Source organism: Homo sapiens, chromosome 22, assembly GCF_000001405.40.
Source record: "Homo sapiens chromosome 22, GRCh38.p14 Primary Assembly".
NCBI lineage: Eukaryota > Metazoa > Chordata > Mammalia > Primates > Hominidae > Homo > Homo sapiens.
The window spans coordinates 29,321,309-29,333,515 of NC_000022.11; the positions used below are offsets into that span (position 1 = coordinate 29,321,309).

General features: G+C 55.1%; 1 protein-coding gene and 1 non-coding gene across 9 annotated transcripts in view, besides 1 other annotated feature; both read right to left on the reverse strand.

Annotated features, from left to right (window-relative positions):
* Nucleotides 1-6,371: 6,371 nt before the first annotated feature.
* Nucleotides 6,372-12,207, reverse strand: part of AP1B1 (adaptor related protein complex 1 subunit beta 1) — a 60,891-nt gene continuing 55,055 nt past the window's right edge. For 5 of the 8 annotated variants that reach the window (NM_001378564.1, NM_001378566.1, NM_001166019.2 and 2 more), the window contains 5 exons: nucleotides 10,479-10,608; nucleotides 10,141-10,225; nucleotides 9,315-9,401; nucleotides 9,070-9,224; nucleotides 6,372-7,587 (listed from right to left, as the gene is read on the reverse strand). In NM_001378564.1, the coding sequence (NP_001365493.1) occupies nucleotides 7,513-7,587; nucleotides 9,070-9,224; nucleotides 9,315-9,401; nucleotides 10,141-10,225; nucleotides 10,479-10,608 (532 nt within the window). In that variant the 3' untranslated portion in view covers nucleotides 6,372-7,512. Of the gene's footprint in view, nucleotides 7,588-8,403; nucleotides 8,413-9,069; nucleotides 9,225-9,314; nucleotides 9,402-10,140; nucleotides 10,226-10,478; nucleotides 10,609-12,207 lie in introns of all 8 variants that reach the window. The other 3 variants (NM_001378565.1, NM_001378563.1, NM_001127.4) reach the window with 1 other exon arrangement.
* Nucleotides 9,052-10,008: an enhancer, noted in NCBI's record as "H3K27ac-H3K4me1 hESC enhancer chr22:29726349-29727305 (GRCh37/hg19 assembly coordinates)". NCBI's record gives its function as "activates a minimal SCP1, AML or CMV promoter by ChIP-STARR-seq in naive H9 embryonic stem cells {active_cell/tissue: H9 hESC(naive)}" and the evidence as "EXISTENCE:reporter gene assay evidence [ECO:0000049][PMID:30033119]".
* Nucleotides 11,855-11,950, reverse strand: SNORD125 (small nucleolar RNA, C/D box 125). The gene has a single exon (NR_003686.1). It is a non-coding gene; the product is annotated as a small nucleolar RNA, C/D box 125 (small nucleolar RNA).

The window sequence follows — 12,207 nt, forward strand, 5'->3', positions numbered from 1 at the left end:
CTTGTTGGTCAGGCTGGTCTCGAACTCCTGACCTCAGGTGATCCACCCACCTCGCCCTCCCAAAGGGCCGGGATTACCGGCATGAGCCATCGCGCCCAGCCTGGCTGCTCCTGGTTTCTAATATGGTTTTCCAGTGAAAGGAACCACGCTCCTTGGAGAGATGACTGTTTCTAGGGTTGGCGCAGGACCAGTACAAGATGATCCTGGAGCCACTTATGGTGGCAGAAAGGAGGGAAGTGCTCAAAAACGAGGATGGTGGTATGTCACAGGGACATAGGAACCTTCCAGAAGGAGCTCCCAGTGGCCAAACCTGCAACAATTCAAGCAACAAAGTAAATAATGTTGTATGGGATTAAGCCCAGATTATAAAATAAATATCCATGAGTCCAAACTGATATAAATGACTGAGTAAATAAATGAATAAATGTGATCATTCAGCTTGCTTGCTCCCAGGGGAAAAAAATACATCTGAGAAGAAACCAGTCTTGCTTAAAGAAGAATTCCAAACACTTCCATGTAGCTACTCCCCCACCCCGCTTTCCAAAGTGTAGGCTACATTTAGTTATTTGCTTCCAAAGAATAGAGTACATAAAGGAGGATGGCCGGGCACGGTGGCTCATGCCTGTAATCCCAACACTCTGGGAGGCCAAGGTTGGTGAATCACTTGAGCCCAGGAGTTCAGTACCAGCCTGGGCAACATAGTGAGACCTCCTCTCTACTAAAAATAATAATAAAAAAAATATTGAATGAAATTAGCCAGGTGTGATGGTGTGTGACTGTAGTCCCAGCTACTTGGGAGGCTGAGGTGGGAGGATCAACTGAGCTCCAGAAGTCAAGGCTGCAGTGAGCTGTGTTTATGCCTCTGCACTCCAGCCTGGAGGACAGAATGAGACCCTGTCTTAAAAAAATAAATAAAATAAAAAATAAAGAGGGGAAAAGTAACTTCACGGTAGAGAAAACTGCAAACATGCAAACATTATCTTGGCTAGGTGATCCAGGCAAACGTGAGGTGACAAGAAATGTCGATAGCATGTCACCCTGATTATGATGCGTAGGAAAAGTCACCTGTGTGGTATTCTTTCTAAAAAACCATAATCCCAGGCTGACCATGAGAAAAACACCCAACAAACCCAAACTGAGGGACTTTCTACAGAATACCCAAGCAGGACTCCTTGAAAACAGTCAAGGTCATGAAACACCAAGAATAGCTGAGAAACTCTCACAGATATAAGGAGGCATGAGTACCACGTGGAATGTGGGATTCTGGAACAGAAAGAGGACACGAGCGCACAACTAGTGAAACACGAATAAAAAACCGAAATGGGCGGCCAGGCATGATGGCTCATGCCTGTAATCCCAGCACTTTGGGAGGCTGAGGCAGGCAGATCACTTGAGGTCAGGTGTTTGAGACCAGCCTGGCCAATATGGTGAAACCCCGTCTCTACTAAAAATACAAAAATTGGCTGGGCACAGTGGCGCATGCCTGTAATCCCAGCTACTTGGGAGGCTGAGGCAGGAGAATCACTTGAACCAGGGAGTCGGAGGTTGCAGTGAGCTGAGATCGTGCCACTGCACTCCAGCCTGGCAACAAAGGGAGGCTCCGTCTGAAAAAAAAAAAAAAAAAAAAAAGAACTTTTACATGAAGAAAACTTAAAATATTACAGAGACATAAAAGAAAACCTGAATCAATGGGAAAGCATCTACTCCTGTTCTTTACATATAAAGATCCAATATTGTTATTGACATCATAACAAGGCCATTCTCCATAAATAAACATTTGATGTGATCCAAATGATACGATCAATTTTTTTTTAAGGACAAACTAGTTCTAAAGTTCAAATAGAATGAAATGGGAATAAGAGGGTACAAGAAGTTATCAAAACATGGCTGGGAGCTGTGGCTCACACTTGTAATCCCAATGACTTGAGAGGCTGAGGCAGGAGGATCGCTTGAGCCCAGGTGTTCGAGGCTGCAGTGAGCTATGATCATGCCACTGCACTCCAGCCTGGGTGACAGAGTGAGACCCTGACTCAAAAAATAAAAAATGATTGGGCATGGTGGCTCATGCCTGTAATCCCAGCACTTTGGGAGGCCAACGCGGGTGGATCACTTGAGTTCAGGAGTTCGAGACCAGCCTGGGCCACGTGGGGGAACCCTATCTCTACAAAAACCACAAAAATTAGGTGTGGTAGCTCTCACCTGTAGCCCCAGCTATTTGGGAGACTGAGGCAGGAGGATTGCTTGAGCCTGGGAGGTGGAAGTTGCAGTGAGCTCAGATCACACCACTGCACAACAGCCTGGGTGACAGGAGTGAGACCCTGTCTCAAAAATAATAAATGAATAAAAATAAAAATAAAAGTTATCAAAACATGAATAGACAAATTATCTTGTATAGAACAGAGTCCAGAAAAACACCCAGATATATGTGGAAATTTAGAATATGATAAAAATGGCATTTCAAATCTGTGGGGAAAAGATGAATTATTCAGTAAATGGTGTGGAGACAAGTGGGGAACCATCTGGGGAAAAAGGGAAGTTGGATCCCTACCTCATTCCTACAGAAAGCCCAGATGGAACAGGATTGAAATGCAAAAATGAAGAGCAGACAAGTACTAGAAAGAAAAAATTAAAAGAAAATTACATCTTAAAAAGCCCAATTTCAGCATGGAAAAGTAAAAAGCAGTAACAAAATAGGGAGGAATAATGGTAAATCAGTAAGAAAAGGATCAATAATCAGATAGAAAAATGGCAGAAAATGTGAAGACAGCTCACAGAAAGGGACATACAAGTGGCTCAAAAACACATGCAAAGAGGCACATTGAAAACATGGGAAGGGCCAGGCGCGATGGCTCATGCCTGTAATCCTAGCATTTTGGGAAGCTGAGGCAGGCAGGTTATTGAGCCCAGGAGTTTGAGACCAGCCTGGGCAACACGGCAAGACCGTCTACAAAAACATACAAAAATTTACTTGGTGTGGTGGTGCGCATTTGTAGTCCCAGCTACTCAGGAGGCTGAGGTGGGAGGATCACTTGAGCCTGGGAGGTTAAGACTGCAGTGAGTGGTAATCACATCACTGCACTCCAGCCTGGGCAACAGAGACCCTGTCACAAAAAAAAAGAAAAAAAAAAGGGAAAGAAAAGAAGAAGAGAAAAAAGGCCAGGTGCGATGGCTTACGCCTGTAATCCCAACAATTTGGGAGGCCAAGGAGGGCGGATCACCTGAGGTCAGGAGTTCAAGACCAGCCTAGCCAACATGGTGAAACCCCATCTCTAATAAAAATACAAAAAATAATTAGCCGGGTATGGTGGTGTGCTCCTGTAATCCCGGCTACTTGGGAGGCTGAGGCAGGAGAATCACTTGGGTCTGGGAGGCGGAGGTTGCAGTGAGCTGAGATTACACCACTGCACTCCAGCCTGGGCGACAGAGCAAGGCTCTGTCTCAAAAAAAAAAAAAAAAAAAAAAAAAAAAAGGCAGCTGGGTGCAGTGGCTCACGTCTGTAATCCCAGAACTTTAGGAGGCAGAGGCGGGCAGATCACCTGAGGTCAGGAGTTCAAGACCAGCCTGGCCAACATGGCGAAAATCTGTCTCTACTAAAAATACAAAAATTAGCCAAGCGTGGTGGCGGGCGCCTGTAATCCCAGCTACTTGGGAGGCTAAGGCAGGAGGAACACTTGAGCCTGGGAGGCAGAGGTTGCAGTGAGCTGAGATCATACCATTGAACGCCAGCCTGGGAGGCAGAGGTTGCAGTGAGCTGAGATCATACCACTGAACGCCAGCCTGGGCGTCAGAGTGAGACTCCATCTCAAAAAAGAAATAAAAATTTAAAAATGAAAAAATAAAAAAAAGGCATGAGGACACTCTCTGTAATGGGCTAATAATGGAAAAACCTCTGCGATATAAGCCCAACATGTATTCCGTGCTACTATTTCCACACAAGAAGGGAAAAAAATCCAATTAGGCACTGCCAAGTCTCTTTGGATAATTACGTGGTTTCCTTTGGGGAGGAAAATGAGGGAAAGGGGTAGGTTTTTACATCTGTCTTGTCTTTAGATTTTGAGCCATGTGAATGTGTTACCTTTTCAAAACAAGAACTAAAATAGAAAATGCATCTTGGGTATACCCTCTGGTTCAGCAGTTCCGGGGCTAGATCCTACAGCTACATCCCTGCCCAGGCAGGAGGGTGTATGTGGGAAGTATTCGCTGCAGCATTGCTTAGGGTGCAGAAACAGCCTGAATGCCCCGCAGCAGGGACTGGCTAACGGTGGCCCATTCACACAAGGAAGCCTGAGGCGGTCTGCTCCTACTGATAGGGAAAGAGCTCCAGAAACGACTGTCAGGTCAGAGAAGCGATGTGCTAGCAGTGTCTAGGTAGGCCATCATTCGTTTAGTAAAACTCTATATGGATTTGCTTATACACATGTGCAGAATATCCCTGGAGGAAAATCAAAATCTAGTGACAATGTCTGCCTTCAAGGGAGGAAAATTAAGGACTGAGGATGGGGTGGGAGGGAGAACTTTATTCTCTGGCTGGCTGACCTCACCATGGTCCTGAATTACTTGCTCCACAAAAATGAACGCAAACCACTAGCTGAAAATTAAACAACGTAAAACCAGGTCCCGCAACAGCCTTGGCAGTGTCTGGTGCACAGGGGAGCCCATCGGCCCTTGGGTATGTGTTGGACCCTCCAGAAATAACTGGTTGCTGTTGTTGGATTTCCTGATTGGCTGGGAAGGTTCAAGACACTTGGGAATCTTCCCAAGAAAAGTCTGGGAAGTTCCCCAAGCTGCGGGATGCCAAGGCCTCCAAGAGGCGAGACGGGGAGGCCTGAGCGTGTCAGGACCAGGAAGTGCCACATGAGCAGGAGGGAGGCGGCCTGTGATGACCCTCAGAGGTGAGGGAGGGACAGGGAAGCTGAAGGGCACAGACTGGCTATGCCCTGAGGTACTCTTCCTAAAGGCAGGGGCCCAAAGTAGCATCCTGTGTGTCTATTCTCCTGATGCAGTAGTGTGGGGGACTGGGAGCATGAAGGCCCTCCCTGCCTCAGTTTCCCTGCATGTAAACTAAGCCGCATTATATGCTTAGTCCAGTATATGCTGGGTCGCCTTATGCTGAGCACTGTGGGGGTGAAAGAGGGGCCCAACTGTAGTGAGGCACCGCTCACAATCACCTGAGGCTTGAGCAGACTCATTCAAACACAAGGTGTCTAGGGATGGTCCTCCTTTCTTGCCAGCTCTCCTCACCCGGGTGGCTTGTCCTGGGCCTCCGGTGGGGACAGCGATCCCACACTTGCACTCTTCCGACCTTGCAATGGAGGGGTGGGGAGGTGAAGTGCCAAGCTCCCTGAATGGCTGAGCTGGCAGGCCATGGGCGTGGTGGCCCGTGCAGCTGCTTCCCAGGCAGAGTGCGAAGGTATTGGGCTCAGGGGAGGCAGACGACACGGCAGGGTGAGAGTCCCTCTCATTAAGGGCTCACCAACCTCTAGTTCCATGGCAGGGCAGGGACTCCAGATGCATTTGGGCAGAGACTCTCAGGCGAGGCAAGAACCAGGGTTGCACAGTCAAGGGCCTTGGTTGGTTCTGGACTCTTTGGAGGGGCCACAGCTGGGCACACAGCTCGAGCCCTTGACCCTGGGGTCCCCAGGGCAGCACAGTGACACCACAGAGGTCAGAGGTGGGGCAGTGGAGGGCCAGGTGCCCCTGTGATGCCCTGCAAGAGGGCAGGCTGTCTCACCCAGCTTCCAGCAGCCAGGAAGGCAGCGGTGTGTGTGAGGTGGGCAGCATGTGGGGGGACTAAGTGCAGACAGAACACGAGGGAGCGGCTGGAGCTGAAACAGGCTGAGGGACACCTGGGCTGCTCCTCCCTCAGAAGCAGGCTGAGGCCCACCAGCCAGGAGGCAGCTCAGCCGATGAAGCCCTGCCCAGGGTCTGGCCACCCTCACTGGGAGCCAGGCCAGTGCCAGGACTGGGGCCACACAAGGTGTCCTCGGTGGCGGCTGGCCTGGTCCACACGCCCACCCCCTCTCCCACGGCTGCCCCTGATCAGGGGATCTCCCACGGCCCCTGGAGCCTCCCAGATGGCAGGGAGCTGGGGAAAACCACAAGGGGAGCCCAGCCTTCTGGCCAGCATCACAAGGCGAGGCATTGTCAGCTCTGGGGGAGGTGGGATCAATGGCAGGAGAGGGGTCAGGGACAGCAGCAGGCCGCAGCAGTCAGTTTGCCAAGGATAGGATGGAGGGAAGGCGCTGTCCTCAGAGTGCCACGGGAGGGGCTGCTGCCGCACATACCACTGGAGCCTTTGACCCTGGGGTCCCTGCAGCCCGGGACTCCTGCCCAGAAGAGCCTCGGGCCTGACACACTGGCTGGGGACACACTTGATGTCATCATTTTTATTCATTTTCTCTTTCTGAAAATAAGAGTAAACATACAATATATATTTTCTGATGATATATATTAGATCTAGTTACCGTAGGGTCAGAAAACCATCCCCAACCACTCGGAGGCAGCTTTCAATCCTGACATTCGGTGGAGGGGAAAAAAGTGTCCGTGATTGCCAAAAGCCGAATCTTTCTTTATTATTACACAGCAGTAACAGGAAAACCTAATGCTCTGTCAGACACAACTGAAACCTGGGAGGCCAGGAGGAGGGCAGCAGACACTACAGAGAAACCCCGAAGAAACCCAAACAGGAGGCGCACCCGCTTACCCAGCCCCATCTCTCGGCCCAGTCTTTGTGGCAGGAGGCCTGGGCTCAGAGGCGACACTGAGGAATGTATCACAGGCAGTGACCACCCTTGGGGCAGAAGTGGGGAGTTGGGGATAGTGCAGCTGCCAGTCGGTGGGGAGCCCGAGACAGGGGCTCTGGGAGCTTCTGCCTGGTCTTGACCATGTGGGTCAGCACTCGGGAGGCTGTGGCCCAACTGGCACAGCTGCAGGGCACCAGCCTGGTGGTTGCAAGTGGGTGGTGCAGGCCCTGGGCTCCTCCCAGCCTAGCTCTGCCCCTCTGCCGGCACCTACAGCTCCTTGAGCCCCAGGCCCTAAGTGAGCAGCTCTCCTGGTACCAAGGGGAACCCCTCCCTGCACACCCAGGCCAGGTTGGCAGGGTCCATCCCATGAGAGGTGGCAGTGGAGGGCCCTTTAACACCAACCGGAGAGACCAAGGAGCCAGGGGCTGCCGGGGCTGTGAGCCGGAGGGGCAAGCTCCACACTCACCCTTCAGGCACAGCTTCTGTGGCTGCTCTGGCTCTGTTTCCTTTGGTCCCCACCTCACTTAACCCCACATCACAGCCACAGGAGCAGGGGTGTCCCAGAGCACGGGAGTGCACTGCGCTCTCACCCCAGGAGGGGGTGGTGCCCTACCCCAGGGATCGGGTGGGTTCTGCCATCAGGACCAGGGAGCCCACTGAGTGGCCTGGAGCCCCGCCTGGTCCCTCCTGCGAGGAGGAAGATGTGCTGCCCCCGAGGGGCCTCCTCGATGGGGCGGGCAGAAGGCTGGGGTGGGCGCTGGCCGGGGTCTCAGTTCTTGAGGATGGTCTCGTAGGCCTGGTACACGTGCTGGGACACCTCTGGTGCTCGACACTTCAGGGACAGCTGCAGGGGAGAGAGGGGTCGGGGGAAAGAGCGCTCATCCCTGGGGTTCCTCTCAGGAAGGAAAGGGGTGGGGAAGAGAGCAGGAACCAATGGGACAGCGTGGAGTGCACACAGCCTGGCGGCAGCTGCGCCTGGCACAGATGTGAGGTAAAGCGGAGGGGGCGGCTGTCGCAGCCAGCCGGGTGTGGACCAAATATACTTGCAGCCCACACACCTGCTGTCAGCCCAGTCACCAGAGCCCTGCTGGCGAGCAGTGTGAGTCACGAGCCGGAGGCTGCCAGGGAGTGCCCGGCCCCCACCCTGAGGGCTGCCCGGCCCCCCAGAGTCCCTGAAGGTCTGGGGTCCTCAGGACTGAAGCCTGACAGAAAATCCCGAGGGGGTGCGGAGGGCTGGGAGGGAGCCTGGAGGGGTGCTGGGCTCATTCCTGGTTTCCTGCGTAGGAAGCAGGCACGGTAGAGACTTTGCCTCCGCTCTGGGGCCTGAGCTTGAGATCACAGGCAGAGGAGAGAGGAGCCCCCACCCATCCACTCTAAAGCACTGGTTCTGCAGGGTGCAGTTAGGAAGTGGGAACAATGGAGTTCCGCAGGTCAGCAGCAGCCCACGGGCCCTCCAGGTCTCCTAGGAAGGACTCTGTGCACACTGTGAATGTGTGGAAGTGGGGTGTCAGCACCTCAATCAGGGCCACCTGGCTGAAGCCCCCCGGGTGAGGTGAGGCCAAGAGATGAGGTGCAGACAGGAGACATGGGGTGCATGGGGGCCATGACAGGAGACAAGACTGGGGAGGGCGGACGGGGAAAGAGAAAGCGATCTGCTAACCTCTAAGTCCTGCACCACGGGAACCAGCAGGGAAGGTGACATGCAGCAACCAAACACAGGGAGACGGAAGTTACCACCACCGAAGCCACGCCACAGCCCCCCACCGACCAGCACTGCCAGCAGGACCCAGGAGGGGCAGTGTCTGGAGGGCCATGCCTGCCAGAGACTCAGGGGTGTGGGGGAGAAGCAGAGTTTGGGGCTGTCCGGGGCCCTGGAACAGCGGTGCAGGCCTCCAGGACAACTGTGTGCCCCAGGGAAGCCATTCTCTAACAGGTCTACCTCAAAGGCTGGGAGGTTCAGGCTCCTGGGAACCACTGTCCTCCCAGCTGGACATGCAGGCACTCACAGGACAGGGCCAGGGCCTGTGCCCAGCAATGTCACTTCCCAGTCAGGGGTGCCAAACCAACTGCACCACCTTACAGGGCCCAATTTTACACAATCTTCTAGTCCAACTCACTGTTCCGAGACCCAATTGGTGTCTTATCTGGGTAACCTGACGGGGTTGATTTGGAAGCTTTCTAGAAAGGTCCTTCTCAGGGACCAAACTGATTCTAGTTCAAGCCAGGCTTGAAGGGACGCTTGGACCGCGTCCTCCACCAGGGCCACCCCCTGGCATGGGACGAAGGGGAGGCTCCAAGGCTGCAGGGCGGGTGCCGGGGCTCTCACCGTGCAGCTGGGGTTGCCCGGCTGGATCCGCAGCTCCGCCAGCACCCAGATGCCGTTGGTCAGCTTCAGGGACTGGTAGAGCATGTCCTGGCCCTCCACGTTCCTCTTGGCGACAGTGAAGATGTTGCTGCTCTGCAGCTTGCTGCTCGCAGCCTCTGTGGGGTCACATGGCCGTGAGAGGCCCCAGTCAGCGCGGGGGCCTGGGTACAGGCGAGGGGCTGGGGTCGGGGGCTCGGAGTCCTCACCTGCATTGAGGGGGCAGTCTCTGATCTGGAACTGGGCCTCATTCTCATTGGGAATATCCTTCCATGTGGCCAGGAACATCTGCCGGTCTGCGGGGTGAGCAGGGTGGGGATGAGAGGCGAGCCCCTCATAAACCTGTGGGCCCTCTGTAGCTCAGCAGGAAATGGGTCTGGCCTTTACTGTGCCACGTGAAAGCTGACAACAGGCACTAGCTGCCGCACAGCCCTCCTGCTTCCCTAAGCACACCCTCCGCTCTGTGAGGGAGGCCCCAGTGCCGCTTCCAAATGACCCTGGCTTCCTGCCTCCAGGCCTTGGATCTCCCCTCCCCACCCCCACACGCCTTCCTCCTCCTCGGTGAGCAGCCTGCTCGTTAGTCACAGCCTCCCATGCAGGCCTTCTGTGGCAAGCAAGAGATGACATGGGCCAAGGGCTCCACGCAGCCAGGGGCAGGGTGCAGGCCGTCTGTGTGCTGTGATCAACACCCTTCTTGGGGGTTCCAGAAAGGGCACAGAGGAGGGGGTTACCAGGTGTGGGGCATGACCTGGGCTCGCTGCAGCCCATGGGACAAGGCTGAGGAGCGAGCAGGAGAGCCTGGGAGTGGGGTGAGTTCCATGTGGCACAGCCCACCTGCCAGACCAGAACTGGCCACTAAGGCCGGGGGGGTCCTGGGTATACCCCTCACTCCAGGCCCTGCAGGGAAGCAGCAACTCCCCGACTCCATTTACGGGCAAGGCAGTCCATCTGGACCTTGGTAAAGGCACCACCTTGGCCAGGTTCCCAAGCCACAGCCCCATTTCAGGCACCCCAGCGGGCTCCCTCATGACTCACCCATCTTCCCGTCCTCCACAAAGAGGATGTGCAGTGGGTACAAGGTGCTGAAGTAGAAGACATCGATGTTGTTCTTCACGGCCACCTAGGCACAAGGGGGTCCCCAGTCAGTCTCTGGGGCTTGACGCCACCTCTGAGGCCCCAGGAAGAGTGTCACTGAGCAGATTCTCTCCCAGGGCCTTCCCTGGTAAACACACCCCTTCGTTCCCCAACCTGGGCCTCCCCAACACATCTGCAGCTAAGAGCATGACTCCGCAGACACGACCTTCTACTGACCCCAGTGGGGCCCGGCTGGTAGGTGAGTAAGGACTGGGGTGCCTGCCCTGCCCGGAACCCACCTGGAGGTTGTTCAGAGGCTCCATCTTCATGACCGAGCCCACCGTGCTGAGAGGCAGGGAGATCTCCACTGTCTGGTTGGGGCTGAGTGGCGCGTGGACCTGGAGGGGGGCGGCGGGGGCCAGGCCAAAGCTGGGGAGAGAGAAGCCCCACAGGGATGGCAGGGGGAGTAGGTGCTGATGCGGGACAGGTGAGCTCCTCCGACTCGGGAGCTGGGGCTGTGGTTGGCAGGGAGCCTCTCACCGTGCCAGCCTTCCCATGTTCTGGACCCTGGACAGAAGGATGGGCTGTGGGTCCCCTCCCCCAGATGGCCATCTGGACAGAAAGAAAGAGCCCCAGGCCAATTGCTCTGCTCTGCCCCAGCCTGGCTGCAGGCCTGAAGCCCAGCTCTGTTCCTCTCCTCTGGGCCAGGCACTGGTGGGCCCAGGTAGGCAGGCCTTGCCCTGTCCTGCCCTCAAGGAGCTCTGTCTAATGCCAGGGGCCTGGAGTATAAGCTGCTTCTACCTTGAAAACTCTGGGACCACCCAAGTCTCTGCTGCCAATCCTCAACTCCCAGAAGGGATCTGACCATCCCAAGCAAGACGCTAGATTTTACTCTCTTGGCCAGAACTTGCCAGGTCACACAGTGGCCACAGAGAGATTCAGGAAAGCTCTGCTTCTCTGCAAAGCAGCACAGTGACAAATTAGGAAGATCCTCATGGGTGTGAGACACGCCAGCAGCAGGCTCTTGGAAGGTAAGTCACAGGGCATGGGACTGGGGGCACAAACCGAGGGCTCGGTATACCTGGGCTGCGGATTCAATATTATACCTGCTCCTAGCCTCATAAAAACAGAGCCAGGTACACCTCTTCCTATCCTCTAGATGAGGACACCGTCTCAGGGAGGAGCAGGCCTGTGTCAGACCCCATAGGGTGAGGGCGCTGCTGAGAATCAGAGTTTGGGCTGTCTGACCCCAGCCTGTGCTCTGCCCAAGAAGCCATCAGCCTGCCTGGGACACAGAGGGAGACCATTTGGGGAACCCCAGGTCCGCTTGGTGGCTCAGCACACTAGGCTTTCCTGGGAGCTCCACTACTGCTCGCTATGTGAGCTGTCCAAGGAGCCCAGGTGTCATTACCTACTAAAAAGGGGTGATGGCAGTGACTTTGCTGGGCCATCAAGTGGCTCAAGTGAGACAATACTCCCAAAGCCGGTGCCACAGGGCCTGGGTGCCCAGGAAGCATTCAGCACACAGTAAGTTTGCTAGAGGCAACCATTGGAACCACCTCTCGGAGCCTGGTGCACTTCTGTGGCCTCCAGGGTCACATGAGGGTAAGTGGTAGAGCCACCCCTAGCCCCGGTCTGCCCAAGGGTCAGGACCTACTGGCCCCCAGGCTTCCTTGGGGAAGCAGCCCCTTCAGTCAACTTCTTAGAGGCTCAGTTTGCTCATCATGAGCGTGCTCAGGAAGAAGAATCATCAGGAGGGGCTGCCAGGGGTCCCCAGGGAGTCCTAGCCTCACTGGCTGGGTCCATGACGCAACCTTCCCACTGACACCCAGTGTAGCGGACCCGGTGGGGAGGGGCCTGAAGCAGCTACCGCTCCCAGAGGCCCCATCTGACACTTTAATCCTCTGCCACAATGGGGAGGCTGGTAGGCAGGCCCACTCCCCACCAGCCTTCTGAGAGCTGGTCCCTAAGATGGGCCCCTCCTATGTGGGGTGTTTGCCAGAGGTGGGCTTCTCAGCTGGAGCAGGG